Here is a 19022-nt window from a genome sequence, read left to right as displayed (position 1 = left end):
AATATGGAAACAGTAAATAAAGACATAATAGTAGAAAGTTTCCTGGAGCTTTTTCTAATAAATAATTTAATCTGTATAGAGTCCCTTCAGGATTAATTACCAGAGAAAGATGATCAGAAAATACTTTGGTAAATAGTATTAAAGTAAAGCTTTAAAGACAAAGGCATATCTCAAGCAAATATAAAGAAGAGAAATATAATTTCTCAGACGATTTCAAGTAGCTGAGATATGAAAAACTAAATAATAGAATGGGGATTAGTATAAAGATAAGATCCTTAATTACAATATCATGTATCTATACTCCTATAAGGAAAAAAGGAAAACCTACTGCTGAATGACAAGGCTAAGTATTGTAGATGACAGTGTTCTCCAAGTTATCTTACAGATTTGATCCTATTAAATTAACAGCAAAAATACTCCATAAGGGTAAATAGATGTTATTATAAATGATAATATGTAGAAATAAAGATAATTTGGGGCCGGGTGTGGTGGCTCGCGCCTGTAATTCCAGCACTTTGGGAGGCAGAGGCAGGCAGATCACCTGAGGTCAGGAGTTCAAGACCAGCCTGGCCAACATGATGAAACCCTGTCTCTACTAAAAATACAAAATTAGCCAGGCATGGTGGCGCAAGCCTCTAATCCCAGCTACACGGAAGGCTGAGGCAGGAGAATCACTTGAATCTGGGAAGCGGAGGTTGCAGTGAGCTGAGATCATGCCATTGCACTCCAGCCTGGGCAAAAAGAGCAAAATTCTATCTCGAAAAAAAAAAAAAGAGATAAAGATAATTTGGAGATCATTGTACATTCCTTCTATAAACATTAAATAAGCCTCTACCGTATGCCGGTTACTGGGCTGGCTTGCCAGAAACTTGATCTAGCAAGTATTTTTTGTTTCATGGTGACAATTATTCAGATGCTGTAGAACTGGCTTAAAAACAGAATATAGGTCATTGGGATATAATAGAGTTTCCAGAAACAGACTCTAAAGAAAGAAATATTTTAAAAATATGTGACAAGTGAAGTATAAGGAGCCAAAGGGAAACAGATAATTGTATGTTTTGCTGGGATCACTAGAAAGGATGTGGAGAAAAATCCAGATCTATAACTTACACTTATAGCATTGTACATCTAGGTAGATTAGGGACTACAGTGTTAAAAAGAAAGGAAAAGAAAATAGAATCTTATCCGTATGCAACTGTGGAGGGATGTTAATTTCTTCCTTGCTTGGATCATAACATTTTTAGCAATAAGGATAACAGGTTAAGATCCACACAGATTTAAAACTTCATGAAAAACAATAAAATCCAGATATAAAGAAAATAAATGGGAAATGCATATCACAGATAAGATAGAGAAAAGGATGAATTCAAAATATATCAACAGGCTATACACACGTACAAGGGACAAGAACATGTGTCTACTGAACCTGTTGCTGGATAATGTGAACAGTAGCAAATATAATAGAAAATAGAATATAATAGAAAAGTTGGTGAGGAAGATGATCAACTCACAGGTAATTAATTTAATTTAAAGATAAAGCAACTGTCACTTTGGGAGGCTGAGGCGGGCAGATCACAAGGTCAGGAGATCGAGACCATCCTGGCTAACACGGTGAAACCCCGTCTCTACTAAAAATACAAAAAATTAGCCAGGCATGGCAGTGTGCACCTATAGTTCCAGCTGCTGGGGAGGCTGAGGCAGGAGAATGGTGTGAACCCGGGAGGTGGAGCTTGCAGTGAGCCGAGATCACACCACTGCACTCTAGCCTGGGTGACAGAGCGAGACTCCATCTCAAAAAAAAAAAAAAAAAAAAAAAAGCAACTGTGAGCTCCCACTTCATATTTATTAGCAAAAACAAGCCAAAATAATAGAACTCAATGCTGGTACATTTCTCTGCAGACAGGAATTCTCACACATCACTAGTGTCAATGTTAATCTCTATAAGACAGACCATGAAACTCACACCTGAGTGCGTGCTTCAAGCCAATGTTTCCTTCTCTGGGAGAGTCAAAAAAATTATTGCATACAAGTTGTAATATATTTGTATACAGGTGTTTATGGTAGCATTGTTCATAATACTAAAGATCAAAATACTCATACACTGGGGAGAGGTTAAGTAATTTGAATTTTATTCATTCAAAGTGAATGAATCTTCACTTTGAATCTTATTCATTCACTCAGAAACCAATACCCTAAAATATGGCATTTTGACATATACTGAAATGAAGAAACCTCACGGTCTCTCTGACCTCGCCCCCACCCCATCATCTCTCCCAAAGAAACTAAAGTTCCTTTATCTCCCTAAGATCCAGACCCACCAAGGAGCATAATTGCTCCTTTTCTCCTCCCTGTTATCTCATCATTTATTGCAGAAAACAAGACCAAGATGTGGCCATATCTTAGCAGACCTTTTTAGGAGTATAATGACTATCTTTGGGGATCATTTAAATTCCAAAGAAAACTATATTGTGGGTGCAACTGGCTGGGCCCAGCGTTGTGGGCAGTAAAAGAATCTACCAAGACAGTTGTGGGTAAAGAAAGGCAGATTTATTAGAGAAAGTATAAAGATATGTTACAAGACTTTAGCAAGCAGCATAGCAGAAAAAGGGCTGTCTGCAAAGAGGCATGAGTGAGGGAAGTTGTTGTATAGGGTTGTGCTGGAGGGGCTATGTACCAAACGAGGTATTTGGGAATAGGATGTTGTGCAGGTGTGCAGGTGGGTTGTTTGTAGTAGGCTATTTTTCAGAACAATTGTCATCCCCCACCTGGGGTCCCTTCCTCATTGTTCCTGACTTATCTTATCAGGACTCTACAAACTATTTACAAGTTAATTTCCGTTCCTCATCCAATCATTTTCCCTAGTAATAATTTATTGCCCCTCAATAGAATTCCTCTTCTCCCCACTCCTATCACCCGCTTTACCAGAATCCAAGGCCCCATTCTTTCTGTAACTTCAAGATGGTATATAAGCTTGTATAACTCATTGAGAAGTTGGATCTTCATTCTGAAGCCTCCTGTGCATACAGGTTAAATAAATATGTATGCCTTTTCTCCTATTAATCAATCTGCCTCATGCCATTGATTTTTTTTCAGCAAACCTTTAGGGGGCCAATGACCATAGCCCCCACAAAAGTCATATTATAAAACCATTTACCCACAGATTGAAAGTTAAACAGATACATGGAAAAAGTATACAAAAAGTGTTTAAGAGAAAAGCACAAAATGTAAGATCCATTCAGCATAACTAATTAGAAATAATATGTATTATTGAAAATTACAGGAAAGTCTCTAAGAAATGGTGATAGTTGTGTTAATGGAAAAACAAACCTCTATAAAATATTTTCAAGAGATTTTTTGAGCCAGTATGAGTGACCATGGCCTGGGGAACAGTTTCAAGAGATCCTGAGAAAGTATGCCCGAGGTGGTTGGGTTAAAATTTGGTTTTATATATTTTAGTAACACAGGAATTGTAGGTAAAATTATAAATCAAGACATAAAGGGTATACAATGGTTAAATCTGAAGAGGCAGGATTCCTTGAAGGGAGGGTAACTTCCAGGTCATAGGTGGATTCAATGATTTTCCCACTGCCAATTGGTTGAAAGAGTTAAACTTTGTCTAAAGGCTCGAAGTCAGTAGAAAGAAATGCTTGAGTTAAGATAAGGGGGTACATGGAGGTCAAGGTTCTTGTTATATAGATGGAGCTTCAAGGGTAGCAGCCTTTGGAGATAATAGATAGTAAATGTCTCTTTTCAGACCTTAAAGGTGTCAGACTCTTATTTAATCTCTCCTATATCCAGGAAAAGACTTGTATTGGGAAGGCCTTGCTGCATTAATAGAGATGCTTTACATATGCAAATTTTTCCCACAAAAGAGGGCTTTGCAGGACCATTTCAATTTGTTGGCCCTGTGGTAGCCATTTCAAAACATGTCCAAAAAATGTATTTGGGGGTAAAATATTTTGATTTCCTTTGGAGTCTGCTATCTGTCATTTCATGCCATACCAGAGTCAGGTGAAAAAGTCAGCCACATTATGCTGGATTAATAAAAACCCATCTAATGAGATATTATGGTTTGTAGGTGTCACTTAAGCTCTGCCTTGCATGGCCTTACGTCTTCTTAATAATTTGACATCTTATTGCTACAAATAGTCTGTTTTGCCAGTCTTATGATCGACATTTTAATGTAAACTCCAAAAGATGGTGTCATTGGTGTGACTGGCTGGGGCTGGCGTTGAGGGTGGTACAAGAATTTACCAAGACAGTTGTGGGTAAAAAAGGCAGATTTATTGGAAAAAGTACAAAGATACATTGCAAGAAAGCAATGGGGGGCACAGCAGAGAAGAGGATGTCTGCCAAGTGGCAGGGGCTGGAGGGAAATGTTACAGGGTCATGATGGAGGGGCTACATGTAGATAAGATGTGCAGATAAGGTTGTGTTTCTGGGTCTTTGGGAACAGGATGTTGTGCCAGTGGGTTGTCTGTAATTAGCTGTCTCTCAGAACAATTGTTCTCCCCTACCTGGGACCCCTTTCTTGTTGCTGCTTACTTATCAGGACTCCACAGGTGGCGGTGTGTCAGACCTCCCTTCTCAACATGGCCAGGAATTCCATTTTCAGGTTTATCTGGAGTTACCTTGGCCAAGAGGGGGTCTGTTCAGTTGGTAGGGGGCTTAGGAATTTATTTTTGTTTACAGTTGTGATGATAAGCAAGGCCAGTTTTCATTAAGCCTTCATTTTTGCCATACCTTGTGCTATGTCTTTTATGAAAATTATCTTATTTAATCTCAACAATGTAGCAGTAGGTATGAACTCTAGAGGAAAAACGGATGCACACAAAGTTAAGTGACTTGCCCAAGGCCACAGAGCTGGTAAATTTTAAAGCTGAGATTCAAACTCCAGGGTCCATTACTACTTAATACAACCTGTTACTTCTTGAGGCCTACATTCTACCTGTCTCTAAATGTTTTCTTAGAGCAGGCCCAGCTGATTTATTTTGGTGAGTTGGGAGGAGACTTTTCCAGAATGCACTGGCCACTCCCTCTCTTTCTCAGGGTAAAATGTCTCAGCTAAAGACTTTCCTCATCAGAGGAAAGCCACTTTCTAATTCCCACTGCAGCCCTTATGGTCAAGGTCTAAAAGGAATAACGTCCCCAGCTCTCCCTCCTGTGACATGAACGTACATGAACTCCACCCTGACAACCATGGCATATCTGTGATGTTTATTTTCTCGTGACCACCTTTCCAGTGAGGCCACTCTGAAAGATTGGGCTCTGTGTCATTCCCTTCTAACCCACTTCTCTCTCATACACATCTCTTTCCCTATGAATATTTAACACCAACATATTTTAAGATGATTCTAAAAGAATTATTTTATAATCAGGATTTCTGTCTGAGCCAAATGTCCCTTTGAAGGGCTTTTACTTCCCTACCTTGCTTCCTGCACACTTAAGTCACATTCCAACAGGAAGAATAGAAGCACTTTGAACGTTTATATGTGGTTTTCTCAAGGGAATATTGTGTTTGGGGTCTGGTGGCAAGAAAAGCCTGAGTGGTGAGGGAAACCTCCTGGGAGGGTTTAGTTGGCCACCCCCCGTGTTCAGGAAGCTCCTCCTATGCATAAAAAGCAGTCCTATGCCCAGGACACAGCACATGGAAAGACTGCATGATGGAGCTGTTAGGATCCCCTGCAGGGGTGGGAAACTCTACTGTCTGCTGCCTGTTCTTATATGACCTGCTAGCTATGGATGGATTTTACATTTTTAAATCCTCTGAAATCTTCTGAAAAAATCTAAAATCTTCTGAAAAAAGAATCAGAAGAATCCCTTTTTTGTGACATGTGACAATAATATGAAATAAAATTTCAGTGTCTATAAATAAAATTTAATAGGAACACAGTTCACTCCTTTTGTGTTCCCAGGGGCAGCAAATTTGAGCAGTTGTGGCAGAGAACCCATGGTCCTCCCTCAAAGCTTAAAATGTTTACCTCTGGCCCTTTGGAGAAAGGCTGCTCACTTCTAGTCTAAAGGACTGTCTCTTCTTCTTAAAGCCTGCTCCGCCCTAAATGGAAACTACCCCTGCTCTCCCCCTGTTTGAATCTTACACAAAAGGCTTCTGTAAACCAGAAATAAAACCATAAGCCCCCAACCAACTAATGGACCCTCCCTGTGGCCAAAGGCATTCCAAAGTTAACCTGAAAAACTAGTTCAGACCACAATGAGAAGAGGGGTCAGACATGCCTCATACCCTCCTCCCTTTTGGAATTCAGGCACAACTGATCATCATTAACATCAACACAGAGACCTTAAAACTGATAGACTCTTTTTTTTTTTTTTTTTTTTTTGAGACAGAGTCTCACACTGTCACCCAGGCTGGAGTGCAATGGTGCCATCTCAGCTCACTGCAACCTCTGCCTCCTGGGTTCAAGCAATTCTCCTGCCTCAGCCTCTAGAGTAGCTGGGATTACAGGTGCCTGCCACCACGCCTGGCTAATTTTTTATATTTTTATTAAAGACAGGGTTTCACTATGTTGGCCAGGCTAGTCTCGAACTCCTGACCTCGTGAGCCACCCACCTCAGCCTCCCAAAGTGCTGGGATTACAGGCATGAGCCACCATGCCCAGCCAAGACTGATAGACTCTTAAAGCCTGATGAGAAACATTTACAGTCTATTCTCTCTGAAGCCTGCTACCTGGAGGCTTCATCTGCATGATAAAACCTTGATCTCCACACCTGCTTATCTTAACCCAGACATTCCTTTCTATTGATTCATCTGTCAACCAATATCCAATCAGAAAAATCTTTGAATCTGCCTGTGATCTGGAAGCACCCCCTCTTCCAATTGTCCAGTCTTTATGAATGGAACCTATGTATATCTTATGTGTATTGATTGATGTCTTATGTCTCCCTAAAATGTATAGAACCAAGCTGTAGCCTGAGCACCTTGGGTACATGTTCTCGGGATCCCCTGGGGCTGTGTCATGGGCCATTACGGGTCAATCATATTTGGCTTAGAATAAATGTCTTCAAATATTTTACAGAGTTAGACTCTTTTTGTTGACATCTCTATCCCCATAACCATGGTGTTATATATGGCATTTATTTTCCTGTGACTATCTTTTCCATTTCAGGGCCACAGATTGGATCTCTACAGAAGAAAAATATCTGTGACTGTACAGTCACTCACCTGTGGTCCAGAGAGGGAGCTAAGGGTTGGATGGAGAGGTGAGGGCTGTCTTCAAAGGGGCTTAGATATCCCCACTGGTAGAAGCAAAATGGTTCTAGCATGTTCCCAGCACCAGAGATATGTACTTGGTCCAATGGGAGTTGAGTTTTAACCAGCAGAGTACAGTAAGCCCAGTTTCTTCCTCAGGAATGTTTCTGGTTCCATCTATTGATCTCACCATACTGGGGGTATAATGTTCTTTCTTTTTAAAAAATTTCTGTCTCGCAATCCTTTCCTTAGTACTCTCTGGAAGGGATTTTTACTTAAAAAAAGAAAAAAATTAGGCCCTGCTCTCAGCCCAGAGTTTACCTTACAAAGATGTCTCAGCAAGAGAATAGAGAAAGACTATGACTCATTGCAATAAAGTAGATATTGTGACAAGAAAGATGTTAACATCTTAATGAAAGCCCTAAGGGGAAATTTGCATAAAACAATCTCCTTGTTGCTTAAAAAGAGCCACTGATGCCTTATTTGAAAAAATCAAACCCCAATTTTGTTAAATATTCAGTCTGGGGATGATTTGAAGAATTTTCTTTATCTCCTGTGAGATTTTTCCTCGTCAGAATCACAGATGCTGAGAGTTGAAGAGGCCCATCTTCCCTCAGCCCACTCTCCCGGCAGGCACTGTGGTAGGAACACTGTCTTACTCCTTCCAGGTCCCTGAAGCTTTTTGAAGTTGGGGTAAAACTAGAAGATGGGCCAGCTCCTAGGACTGGGAATTTTGATAGAGCAAGAAAGCCCTTGCTCAAGTCTCTCTGGACTCCTACATTCATCCACTTCTTCAAGTCCATTTTAAAAAGTCTCAACTGGTTTTTAAGCTTCTTGAAATTTATTTTTCATTTGGAGTTTGTCCAACATTTTTGACAGATTGTTACTTACACGCTGTAAGTGACAGGGAGATCACTACTTCTTGGGGCAGGATGTGCTACACTGGGCTGGACTCTGCCTCCCATTAACTTCTCCCACTGGTCCTAGTTCTTCCTCTGGGATTACTAAGTGATCCATTCACTTTTCTTTGTGGCAGTCCTTCACATGGTTGTAGACAACAACTGCAGGTCTTCATGGGTTCTTTTGTTGCAATCAAACACCAACGTAGAAAAGTTCTGCTTAGCCCCACCTTTCTGGCTGGTTTCCAGTGAAAACACAGGACAGATCTTCAACACAGGGGCATCTCCAACCTTGGAGGCCGGATCAATCTCTCTTGCCCCTCCAGAAGGAAAAGCTGGAAAAAGCAGAGGCCAGACCTATTTTTTTCCCCAGGGTTTGAGGCAAATTACCTCAGGGAAGAAAGCTTCAGCTGCAATGATGTTGGCTCTTTCTGCTAAAGGAACAGCTGAATTGACAGCCTACATCCCACTGGGAAGTATGTCAGTTTCTTGAGTAGCCAGACTCTGCAGCTCCAGCCAGTGGCAGGTACAACAGGAAGTTTGAGGGAAATGTTGAAACAGAAGGGCTAACCTGATTAGGCCTGTCAAACTTGCTTGCTTTTAGTCATTCACTTCTAGTTGATTTTAAAACCTATATAGCTAAAAATCATGTAGCTAGGCAAAATATAATTAAACTTCCACTCACTAGCTTTCTTATAGATAACAGCTTTGATGTAATGGTCACTATGGTAACAGTTGCCTAAGTTATTTTTCAGGAACTTAGGGTCAGTTTTTGTCCAGTTCAAACCAGCTGAGACCACCAACCCTCCAACTGAGCCTACATGAGCATCCTATGGGTGACCTTTTGCTGTCAGAGGACCAAAAACTCCACTCTCAGATCATGCAAATGAGACATGCAGGCTGGCCAATTCCCTATTTTAAGATGGTCTGAATGAAAAAGTTTGGCTTATTTAACCATCAGCCAGTCAGTAACAAAAGACCCAGGAAGTTCTTAACTGCAAGGTTTTATTTTGAGGGCTAGGGGCTTCCTGGGAGCCCCACATGTGCATCAGACTTAAACTCCAAATTAAAGTTACACTTTCCTCATTTTAATGCTAAAGTTCATGCCCTGGGGTGGAGATTTAAAATGCTAGCACTACATATGATATATGAAGAAACATGTTGAGTCACTACGCAAGCACTAGAAAAACCCCTAGTATACATGCCCTGATGTAACCCTTCCCTATAGAAAGACCCTGTCAAACTAACACAAACACTACCCTCAGGTAGCAGCTGGCTACCTTGTGCACCAGCTCATAAACTCCCTTTATTTCTATGCCTGGTGATCACTCTTGATTTAAATCCTGGGAGACTGCAAGAACCTGGGGCACTGGTAGCACCAACACCATCATATGAAAAGCCATGAAGTCTGCCTACCCTTGTGCAGATCACTGATTCTCACTTTTCCTCACCTCAAGTCACCTTTCCCCATGCTTCAGACCACCCTGTTTTGTTATCCCATAAATATCCCTAAACTCTGTCTTTGGAGAGGCAAATTTGAGAACTCTTCTCCCATCTGCTCACTTGGTAGCTTCTCTGCTATAAAACTAGTCTTCTCATTGATTGACACACTGTGCAACAGGCAAAATGAGACTGGCTCACTAGCAATATTTGTATCCTCCTCTGTATATGATACCCAGGAAGGAGGCTTTGCTGAATTCCAGTGATAAGGAAAGCAAAGTAGCCTTGCCAGGGGACAAGGACATTGGATCACTGGGTGCTCACTAGATAGGAGGAGGAGGGGAGGGCCTGAAACAAAACAAGTCATGGTTATTGGTCATGCCCAAAGTCAGGAGGCAGCTCAGAACCTTCCTCATTCATTCACCTGGCCACACCCCTGCCCCAGTCCAAGGAAGTGTTAAATAAAATGTATAGGAGGCCATTGGTTTGGCCTGAGCTGTTGCACTAGGCCCAATGGACCAAACCAAGATGGAGTCACTCATTCTAAAGTTCCATGCAATCAAGCTAAAACTAAGTTGTTTATATAACCTTCCAAGACATGGGGGGCGGCGGCTGGGGAGAGAGAAAGGAGAGAAAGAGAGAGAATAGCCAAATCTCCAAATAGCCAAACAGGCCAGTTTTAGCCAACATAAGGAAGTCCCCTCTGCTTTAACCTTTACAAGGAAAATAACTGAAATTGCCAGTCTACTTTTTGTTTTTTGTTTCTGCTTTATTCAGCTCTTTTTTTGTCCATAAAGCCAATCTCCTCTGCTCAGCATATTGGAGCACTCATTGTTTTTTACGGAATGAGGTGTTGCCAGACTCTAGAGTTGCCAATAAAAGGCAATTAAGATTTTTAGACTAAATTTGTTGTAATTTTGCCTTTTGACAGAAATCTATTTGCCGGTTCCACAGACCCAGAACGTGTTTTTCAACACTGGCAGCACAAACAGCAGTCTGCCTGGTGGCGTCATGGTCACCCAGAATCACTGCTTCACTTGCTGCCTCCCTTTGCTACAGCAGCCCAGTGTCCTAGCCTTGCTGCTTTTGTGATTCTTTGCAGCAATTCTAGTAGGAACAAGAAACAAACAAAAATAGGCCAGGCACACTGGCTCACGCCTGTAATCCTAGTACTTTGGGAGGCTGAGGTGGGAGGATTTGCTTGAACCCAGGTGTTCAAGACCAACCTGGCCAACATAGCAAAACCCCTGATATGGTTTGGCTGTGTCCCCACCCAAATCTCATCTTGAATTCCCATGTGTTATGGAAGGGACCTGGTGGGAGGTAATTGAATAATGGATGGAGGTCTTTCCTGTGCTGTTCTCATGATAGCAAATAAGTCTCATGAGATCTGATGGTATTATAAAGGGGGAGTTTTCCTACACAAGCTCCTTTTTTTGCCTGCTGCCATCCATGTAAGACATGACTTTGCTCCTCCTTGCCTTCTGCCATGATTGTGAGGCCTCCATAGACATGTAGAACTGTAAATCCAATAAACCTCTTTCTTTTGTAAATTGCCCAGTCTCAGATATGTCTTTATCAGTAGCATGAAAACAGACTAATACAACCCCCATCTCTTACAAAAAAAGCCAGCCCTTCTGTGGTCAGGTTTCTAAGGTAAGGCATCTAAATATTGTTCTTCCAGAGCGGATCTGTTGGGAGGGGTGAGGGCCCAGCTCCTGGGACAGTCAGAGGCCCAGGCTGAGCAAAGGCCATAAAGGAAAGATGACCTCCTGCCAGAATATTTGGAGCTCCCTTTTATTTCAAACCAGAAACCAGTCTCAACGTGACTTTGTGGATAACGAAAAAAAAATCCTGCAAAAATTGTTCTATGTTTTTCTCCCATTTCAGGTTCTTACTTGGTTCACTACTCCACATGGTGTGGTGGTCAGAATTTGCCCTTTACACTTACTTCCCTTTCCTTCTTCCTATTCTTTACTAAAGGAGCATTCAGGGCACACAGAGCATTGAAAAATAAGCACTGACTACTATGGCTTTAGTGCCTGAAGGGATGCAAGACCTGGACCAACCTTAGAGGTCACTTACACAACCCTCCGGTTTTTTCAAAGGAAAAGAATGAAACTCCAGGAGTTGAGGGGTTGAGGGGTCATGAGACAAGCCTCTCAGATGTTAACAGATCACGGTCACTTCAGTTTTTTTGAGGTCCCTTGTATATTAAAAGAAACAATTTAAAAAATGGGAATCATAAGAATTACGAAATTTTTTGATGTTTACATTTTATAAGTTAAAACTTTTTCCAGAAAAAATGCAATATAGTGCATTTTAATAGTCACAAAATCTGGAAAAATATTAATTCACAGTCATCCTGTGCTATAGACAGTGTTGTATAGTCACAAGGCTCAGGGTTTAAGGTTGGACAATGAATATTGCTTTCCTTTGCTCCTATATCTTTGGGACTGTCTGATAGATCTTATTTGGGGATAAAGTTAAAAGTCTAATCTGAGACCTTGGTGAATGTAGAGGCCAGCTGGCTCTCCTGCCCTTCTTGTCTCTTCTGAGCTCTTCCAGAAACCAACTGTGTGATCTTGGCCACTCATACTTTCATCAGGGTAGAAAATCTAACTTAGTGTCTTTGGCTATCTTTGATTTACTCTCTTGCTAAAGGTCTAATTGTTTAAAACACATAAAAAATCAAAACTGTGATTTCATGGTGGAACCATCAGTGAATTAAATTTTGGGGCAGAGCAAAGATCTTGTTCAGAGCAACCTGTTGGTGTTATGGTGGCCACTTTTAAGATGGTCCCCAGTAATATTCACTTCTCCATATATTGAATGCATCCTACAGTGAACGCAGCTGACCTTGTGACCAAAAGGATATTGTGAAAATGAGGAAGTGTGACTTCAAGGCTACATCAGAAAAGACTTTGTGGCTTCTGACTTTGTGTAGAGGAGAAAAAGTAATATCTCTTTTCTCACCCATCATAAGGCTCATGACTGAGGCACCGGTATTAAAAAAACAGATTAATGATAGAAAAGCATACAAAATTATGTATTCACTTTTATTTATTTATTTACTTATTGAGACAGAGTCTCACTTTGTTACTCAGGTTGAAGTGCAGTGGTATGATCTCGGCTCACTGCAACCATTGCCTCCTGGGTTCAAGTGATTCTCATGCCTCAGCCTCCCGAGTCGTTAGGACTTACAGGCGCATGCCACCATGCCTGGATCTTTTTTTTTAAATTTTTTGTAGAGATGGAGTTTTGCCATGTTGGCTAGGCTGGTCTGAAATTCCTGGCCTCAAGATATCCACCCACCTTGGCCTCCCAAAGTGCTAGGATTACAGGCATGAGCCACTGCGCCCAGCCTATTTATTCTTATTGATACATATTGGATATACATATTTTCGGGGCACATGTGATAATTTGATACACTCATGTAATTAAATCAGGTAATTGGAATATTCATCAACCTAAATATTCATCTTTTCTATATGCTAAGAACATTCAAATTATTCTCTTCCAGCTATTTTGAAATATACAATAGATTAATGTTAACTATAGTCACCCTACTGATCTACTGAATATTAGGTCTTATTTCTTCTAAGTGTATATTTGTACCCCTTAATCAATCTTTCTTCATTGCCCTCTACCCTCACCTTTTGATTTATTTAACATAAGTTGTCTTTTTTTTTTTTAAATTAATGTGACATGGGAGCCTTCAGAAATGAAGTCCAAAGAAACAGGTAAACTTGTGCATTTTTACACCAAGTTTGATGAAATGGAGAACTGTGGAGAATTATGATTGGAGAACAAAAGGGTGATCTACTAGTGATCAACTGGGAGGAACTTAGCAAGACCGGTTTGTTCAGATTCTTCTTGGCATTTCTGTGTCTTTGAAGATAAGTATGTTCCTTTCCTCTGGTTGTAGGGAGGGTATCTCTGGAATAAGGGTCTTATGACCTACTTCAGAAAGGAAGGTCAGATAATTCTTTCATGACCAGCTTCAGGGGAGAAGGTCAAAGGGGAAAGTCAAAGAGATCTTCCTGCTTCTGCTATTTTCTCAAATGGTAAGGTGCCATACTTGAAGGTAGTGTGTCCTGAACCCCATCACTTACTATCTCTTGGATCACTCTGAGTGAAGCCAGCCCCCATGGTCTGAGGACACTCAAGTAGTCCCTGGAGAGTTCCAAATAGGAAGGACCTATAACTCCTACCAACAGCTGGTAGCCGTGTGAGTAAACCATCTTGGAATGGATCCTCAATCTCCTTCAAGCCTCCCAGTGACTGCCTGCAGCTCTGGCTGGCAGCTTGACTGGAACTTCAGGAGGTACCCTGAGCTAGAACCATCCAGCTAAGCCACTTTCAGAGTCCTGACACTTAGAAACTGTGGGCAATAATAAATGTTTACTGTTCTTGGGAGCTGCTAAGTTAAGGAGTATCTGATATGCAGTAATAAATGACTAATATTGTCATTTTACATAGCATACATAAAAATGGCTAACCTGGTCTCTCAGGTTACTGCCTATAGCTATTCATCAACTTCTCCTCACCTGGCCATGTGTCTAAAATTCTTGCACTTGAAGCTCATTCCTTTCTGAACATCAATTTTCAGTATCATCATCTTGAAAGTCAAACTCCCCTGTATGTGCTTTATCTCAACCCTTAAGCTGCAATGAGTTAACCTCTAAATGGACATTAGTTCATAGCCGGTTGATAGGAGAGTATAACTGGGAGATAGGACTTGTGGTTAAGAGATGGGAACAAACTTTGGCTGTTGATTAGAAAATAACCGAGTGTAGATTTAGAGTCAGGAAATCCAGATAGACTTCTTGTTTCACCTATGAGCCTGTGATTATGTGCAAGCCATGTAACTTCATGAATTTTAGTTTCCTCATCTGTACGATGAGAATAATGAAAGTATCTAACTCACAGTCACCCCCACCACCCCTGCCCCCCATATACACTCTCCTTCATCCCCAGTCCCAGTGAGGATAAACAATGATAAGACACATGAAAATACTTTATACACCAAGAAGGTTCACACAAAAGTTATCTTACTTAGCAAAAAAGTCAGTCTCCTAGGGTGGAGATAGGTGGGCTCTGCCCCCATTTATTAAGTACTTTTTCTGTGGCATTCATTATTAAGAGCAGGAACATAAAAATGAATAAGTTTCCTATCCTCAAGGGGTTCACCATACTGACAGTGATAAATAAGACAAGAGGCTATTACTTTAAATGTAAAAAGTGCTAAGCACACAATAATTGATTCATTTCTTCATCAAATATTTATAGAGTGCATTGCCCCACAGGTAAATGTGCTGGGTGCTACTGATACATGAACAGTTGATTAGCAAGCCCATTGAGACAGCTGCCAGCAGGAGGCGTCACTGAGCTGAGTCATAAAGTTTGGGTAGGAGACAGTTCAGTGAAGTTTAAGGCTAAGGGTACCACAGGCAGGATGAATAAGGGCATGGAGGCGAGCACCAGCATGGTGACATAGGGCAACTTCCCTCAATTCAGTGATGATCAACACCCTTGAGAAAAACTCTCCCGAAGATAACTGGAGAGGATAGGGGCCTGGCTGACCCAGAGCCCTGTTTAGCTGGTTTACATCAGGTCAGTGGCATGCCTGATGTTCTCATTGGGAATGCCTGTCAACTCCCAGTTACCCATCAGTGTGACCTCAGCCCCAGGCCTCTTGACCTTGCATGCTCATGGGCCCTTTTGCACTATGAATAACTTAGAGAATACCAACTAACTTAAATATTAGACTAACTGATAATTAAGTTAATTAAGCTAATAATTAGGAGGATGGATTTATTGTGCAAGAAGTCATCCAGTGTATGCCTAGGCCAATTAAAATTAAAATTAAAATTAATTGCTGTTTGGGGTTCCCTGTATCTCTGACCCTGCTATTGGCTCAGACCATCCATCCTTGACTGTGCCCATTAAGGAAGCCCCTTTTCCTTCATGCTCATGTGTGCTGCTCAGGGCTTACAGCTGCTGAGATGGTAAAGTGAGAATAGGTGTCCTTTGGGGTCACAAGCCTATTATCTGATGCAAAGAAGTGTCTCATTGCCTTCAAATGAGCAAAATAAAAGATCAGCTGATTTTATTTCCTCATCAAGATGGATGATTTCCAAGTGTTGAAACTGAACTTGATGATTAAAACTCATTTCCTTGCAAAACCCAGCCCTGGAGGTGTCATCTTCCTTGGCTACTATACCCAGCCCTTGGTGACATGTGACTTGAGCTCAATGTGAATGGGCATTTAATTTGATATCCAGGATAATGTATCCCCACAAAGTACAGAATCCCCTAAATAAATAAAATGGGCTTATTATTCACTGGGTAGAGTTATCCAGACACCCTTGGATACAAGATGGAGCAGAAACCAGACAAATAAACGGATATTAGCAGTCTGACACTTTTGCCCAAATAAGACTCACTTTTTTGAAGGATCAATCTTCTGGGCAAGGACCCTGAGGATTTTGTGTCACTCCTGCTGATCTTTTACACACAGATTTCTTCCAGTTATGGTTCTGACTGACCTGCTGTGCTCCAAGTAAGTTCTTCTTTGGACAACAAAAGGAATATGAATCTTCATGCTGATGGGGGGAGTAGATGTTAGCTTGTCTCTTTGGGTTGGTCCATTTCAGAACAGCTAAGGTCCTTGTTGTAAACTGCATATGGGACTTGCCTTAGCCCAGCTCTGGGTCTCTGTCTGAGGCCCAGATCAGCTTGTCCTACTTTCCTCTTTCTTCACTAGAGGTCCAGGAACTCAGCTGCCCAAAACCAGCCCTGGGGGTCTTGACCCCAGGGCAAACACTCTTGCCCTGGTGGTCTTCCTGTCCCTGGAATTCCCTGTGAAAAGCAGTGCTGCCATCTCAGTTTCCTCCCTCCTTTTTGCTCCCAGAATGACAATTTCCCAGGGCCCCTTTGGTTTCAGTCATTTGCTGCAAATCCTGAACTTCAGCCCTCAGGTTTTATTCCAAGGGCATGACTCACCAACCCCAAGACATTTGGCTTTCAAACTGCTAAATGATTCACGCAGAATAAGAAGCCCCATAGCATATGTAGTTGAGATTTGTGCCTCTGCAAAATTACACATCTTCACTTGACGGGTCTTTAGGGCTGTTGGTGAATGGTGCAGGTGATAATGTTGGTTTCTTAGATATCAAGGGTCTGTTGAATCAGAGTTGGGCCACAGGATATAGATAGGAAATAAGGATTTGGTGGGGAATGTCTGCCAGTATTATTTCTCTATGTAGAGGATAACAAGCATGACCAGATATCAGCCCTAAGAACTTTCCCCTCTGCATCCTCTGCCCTTGCAGTGATGCCCTCACCTCTTGGGCAGCCAGCAGTGCTTCAAGCCCCCTTGCTTTTGTATCCAAGTCTTCCATTACACTTCATGGCATGAGGCACCTACTTGTCAGGTGGCTATTTTGATTTATGGAGACTTTGTATGTGGATTTAGTGTAACTTAACTGGGAGAACCAATTGCTGGTGTGTAGGAAAAAGAAGGAAATGTTAGTTACCAGTTGGGAGATCCTTGTATGGAAACTGAACACGTGAGACCAAATACAGGGGGATAAGGCAAAAGGCTGTAGTAAAGCCATGTGAGAGACAGTGAAGGCTTGAAATAGGGCAGCAGTAGTGGGGGTTGAGAGGAGGAAATAGTTAGGAGAGAAGCTTAGTGAAGTCATCAGAACCTGGACAAGGTATTTGAAGATTTCATGGTCTCTGGCTGAGGCAGTTGAGTACAGTGGTGTCTTTTTAGCTAATGGAGATCTAAGAAGGATGAGGTGTGGTTGGGGGAGTATTAAGAAGTCTCTAGGTGTGGTGAAACTGGAAGTTAAAGGGGTTCTGATTAATAGTCTTTTTAATTTTTGCATATATGTTTTATCTGGCCATTTTACTGGACTTCTTTCTGATGAGATTAATGCATTCAGTTTTGGATATGTTTGAGTATCTTCGTCTGCACTTGAGAATTAGAAACCTGGGCTGGGAATAATGCTTGGGAGCTACCCATGAATAGAAGTGGTTAAAGGCCTGCATTTGAACAAGATCACTTAGGAGGAGTGTGAGTCCTGAAATGAGAAGTGAAAAGACTGAAGAAGGGATCCTGGGAGAGGAGAATGAGCAACTGAAAAAAAAGCAGTACAGGAAAAAAAAAAAAAAAAAAAAAGGAAAAACCATGGTGTCCTGGAAGATAAGGGAAGGGAAGTTTTAAGGAGCCAAAGGCTGAGTGTTAAATGGTGGGAGAAAAATTAAGGTCAAAGTGAAAAAATTTCCTTTGTATTTGATGTTTGGGAAATTGGGGAGATCATCAAAAGTAGTTTCAGGACATAGAAGAGAAGTAGAAATATATTAGGTTGGCTGAGAATAGCCAAGACAATCTTGGATAAGAAAAATAAATATTTTCAATAAATGACCCTGGGTCAATTGGATAACCAAGTAAACATTAATTCTGGATTCTCTGTACACCAATTTAAAAAATCAATTACAGATATATAGTAGGGAAAACGACAAGGCTTTTTGAAGACAATGGCGCATCATATTTTCATGATCTTGGTGTAGGCAGATATTTCTTAAAGAGAGCACAAAAATGACTAAATTTAAATAAGAGAAATACATTCAATTACATTAAAATCAAAAGCCTCTCTTTATCAAAGGATATTCTTAACAGAGTGAAAAGGCAAGCCATAGAGTAAAAGAAAATATTAATCATACTCATGTCCAATAAAGAACTCAGCTCTAGTATATATACGTCATTAAGAAAAACACAGAGAGCTCAATAAAAAATGTAAGCAAATACCTTGTGAAGACAAGACACCCTACAAAAGGGGATAGCCAAATAGCTCAGTATACATGAATAGGTGCTTAACATTAATTAGTCATCAAGGGATTGCGTATTAAAGCCATAATGAGTATTTATCACTATACATACACTAAAATGGCTAAAATTAAAAACACTAAAAATACCAAGTATTGGCAATGATGTGGAGGAAATGAAATTCTCTTACCCTTCTGGTGTAAGTGTTTTTTTTGTTGTTGTTGTTTTGAGACAGAGTTTTGCTCTGTCGCCTAGGCTGCAGTGCAGTGGCGCAATCTCGGCTCACTGCAACATTCACCTCCTGGGTTTAAGCGATTCTCATGCCACAGCCTGGCTAATTTTTGTATTTTTAGTAGAAACAGGATTTCATCATGCTGGCCAGGCTGGTCTTGAACTCCTGGTCTCAAGTGATCCACCCACCTCAGCCTCCCAAAATGCTGGGGTTATAGGTGTGAGCCTCTGCACCCTGCCAGAAGTGTACTTAATACAACAATTTTGGAAAACTGCTTGCAGTATATCCTAAAGTTGAACGGTGAAAGAAGTAAGGTTGAATGTGGATACAAATAAGTTTGCAGCTGGGTGGGACTGGAAGTTAAAAGGGTTCTGATTAATGATCTTTTCATTTTTGCATATTAGT

The 19022-nt window shown here is 41.0% G+C and overlaps 3 annotated features.

Moving 5' to 3' along the window:
- Positions 4221 to 4778: an enhancer, noted in NCBI's record as "OCT4-NANOG hESC enhancer chr1:175803681-175804238 (GRCh37/hg19 assembly coordinates)". NCBI's record gives its function as "activates a minimal SCP1, AML or CMV promoter by ChIP-STARR-seq in primed H9 embryonic stem cells {active_cell/tissue: H9 hESC(primed)}" and the evidence as "EXISTENCE:reporter gene assay evidence [ECO:0000049][PMID:30033119]".
- Positions 5955 to 6496: an enhancer, noted in NCBI's record as "OCT4-NANOG-H3K27ac hESC enhancer chr1:175801963-175802504 (GRCh37/hg19 assembly coordinates)". NCBI's record gives its function as "activates a minimal SCP1, AML or CMV promoter by ChIP-STARR-seq in naive H9 embryonic stem cells {active_cell/tissue: H9 hESC(naive)}" and the evidence as "EXISTENCE:reporter gene assay evidence [ECO:0000049][PMID:30033119]".
- Positions 6497 to 7038: an enhancer, noted in NCBI's record as "OCT4-NANOG-H3K27ac hESC enhancer chr1:175801421-175801962 (GRCh37/hg19 assembly coordinates)". NCBI's record gives its function as "activates a minimal SCP1, AML or CMV promoter by ChIP-STARR-seq in naive and primed H9 embryonic stem cells {active_cell/tissue: H9 hESC(naive and primed)}" and the evidence as "EXISTENCE:reporter gene assay evidence [ECO:0000049][PMID:30033119]".

Source organism: Homo sapiens, chromosome 1 (genome assembly GCF_000001405.40).
Source record: "Homo sapiens chromosome 1, GRCh38.p14 Primary Assembly".
NCBI classification, from domain to species: Eukaryota; Metazoa; Chordata; class Mammalia; order Primates; family Hominidae; genus Homo; species Homo sapiens.
The sequence above is the reverse complement of the archived record's forward strand: the minus strand, read 5'-3'. Positions and strand labels throughout refer to the sequence as shown.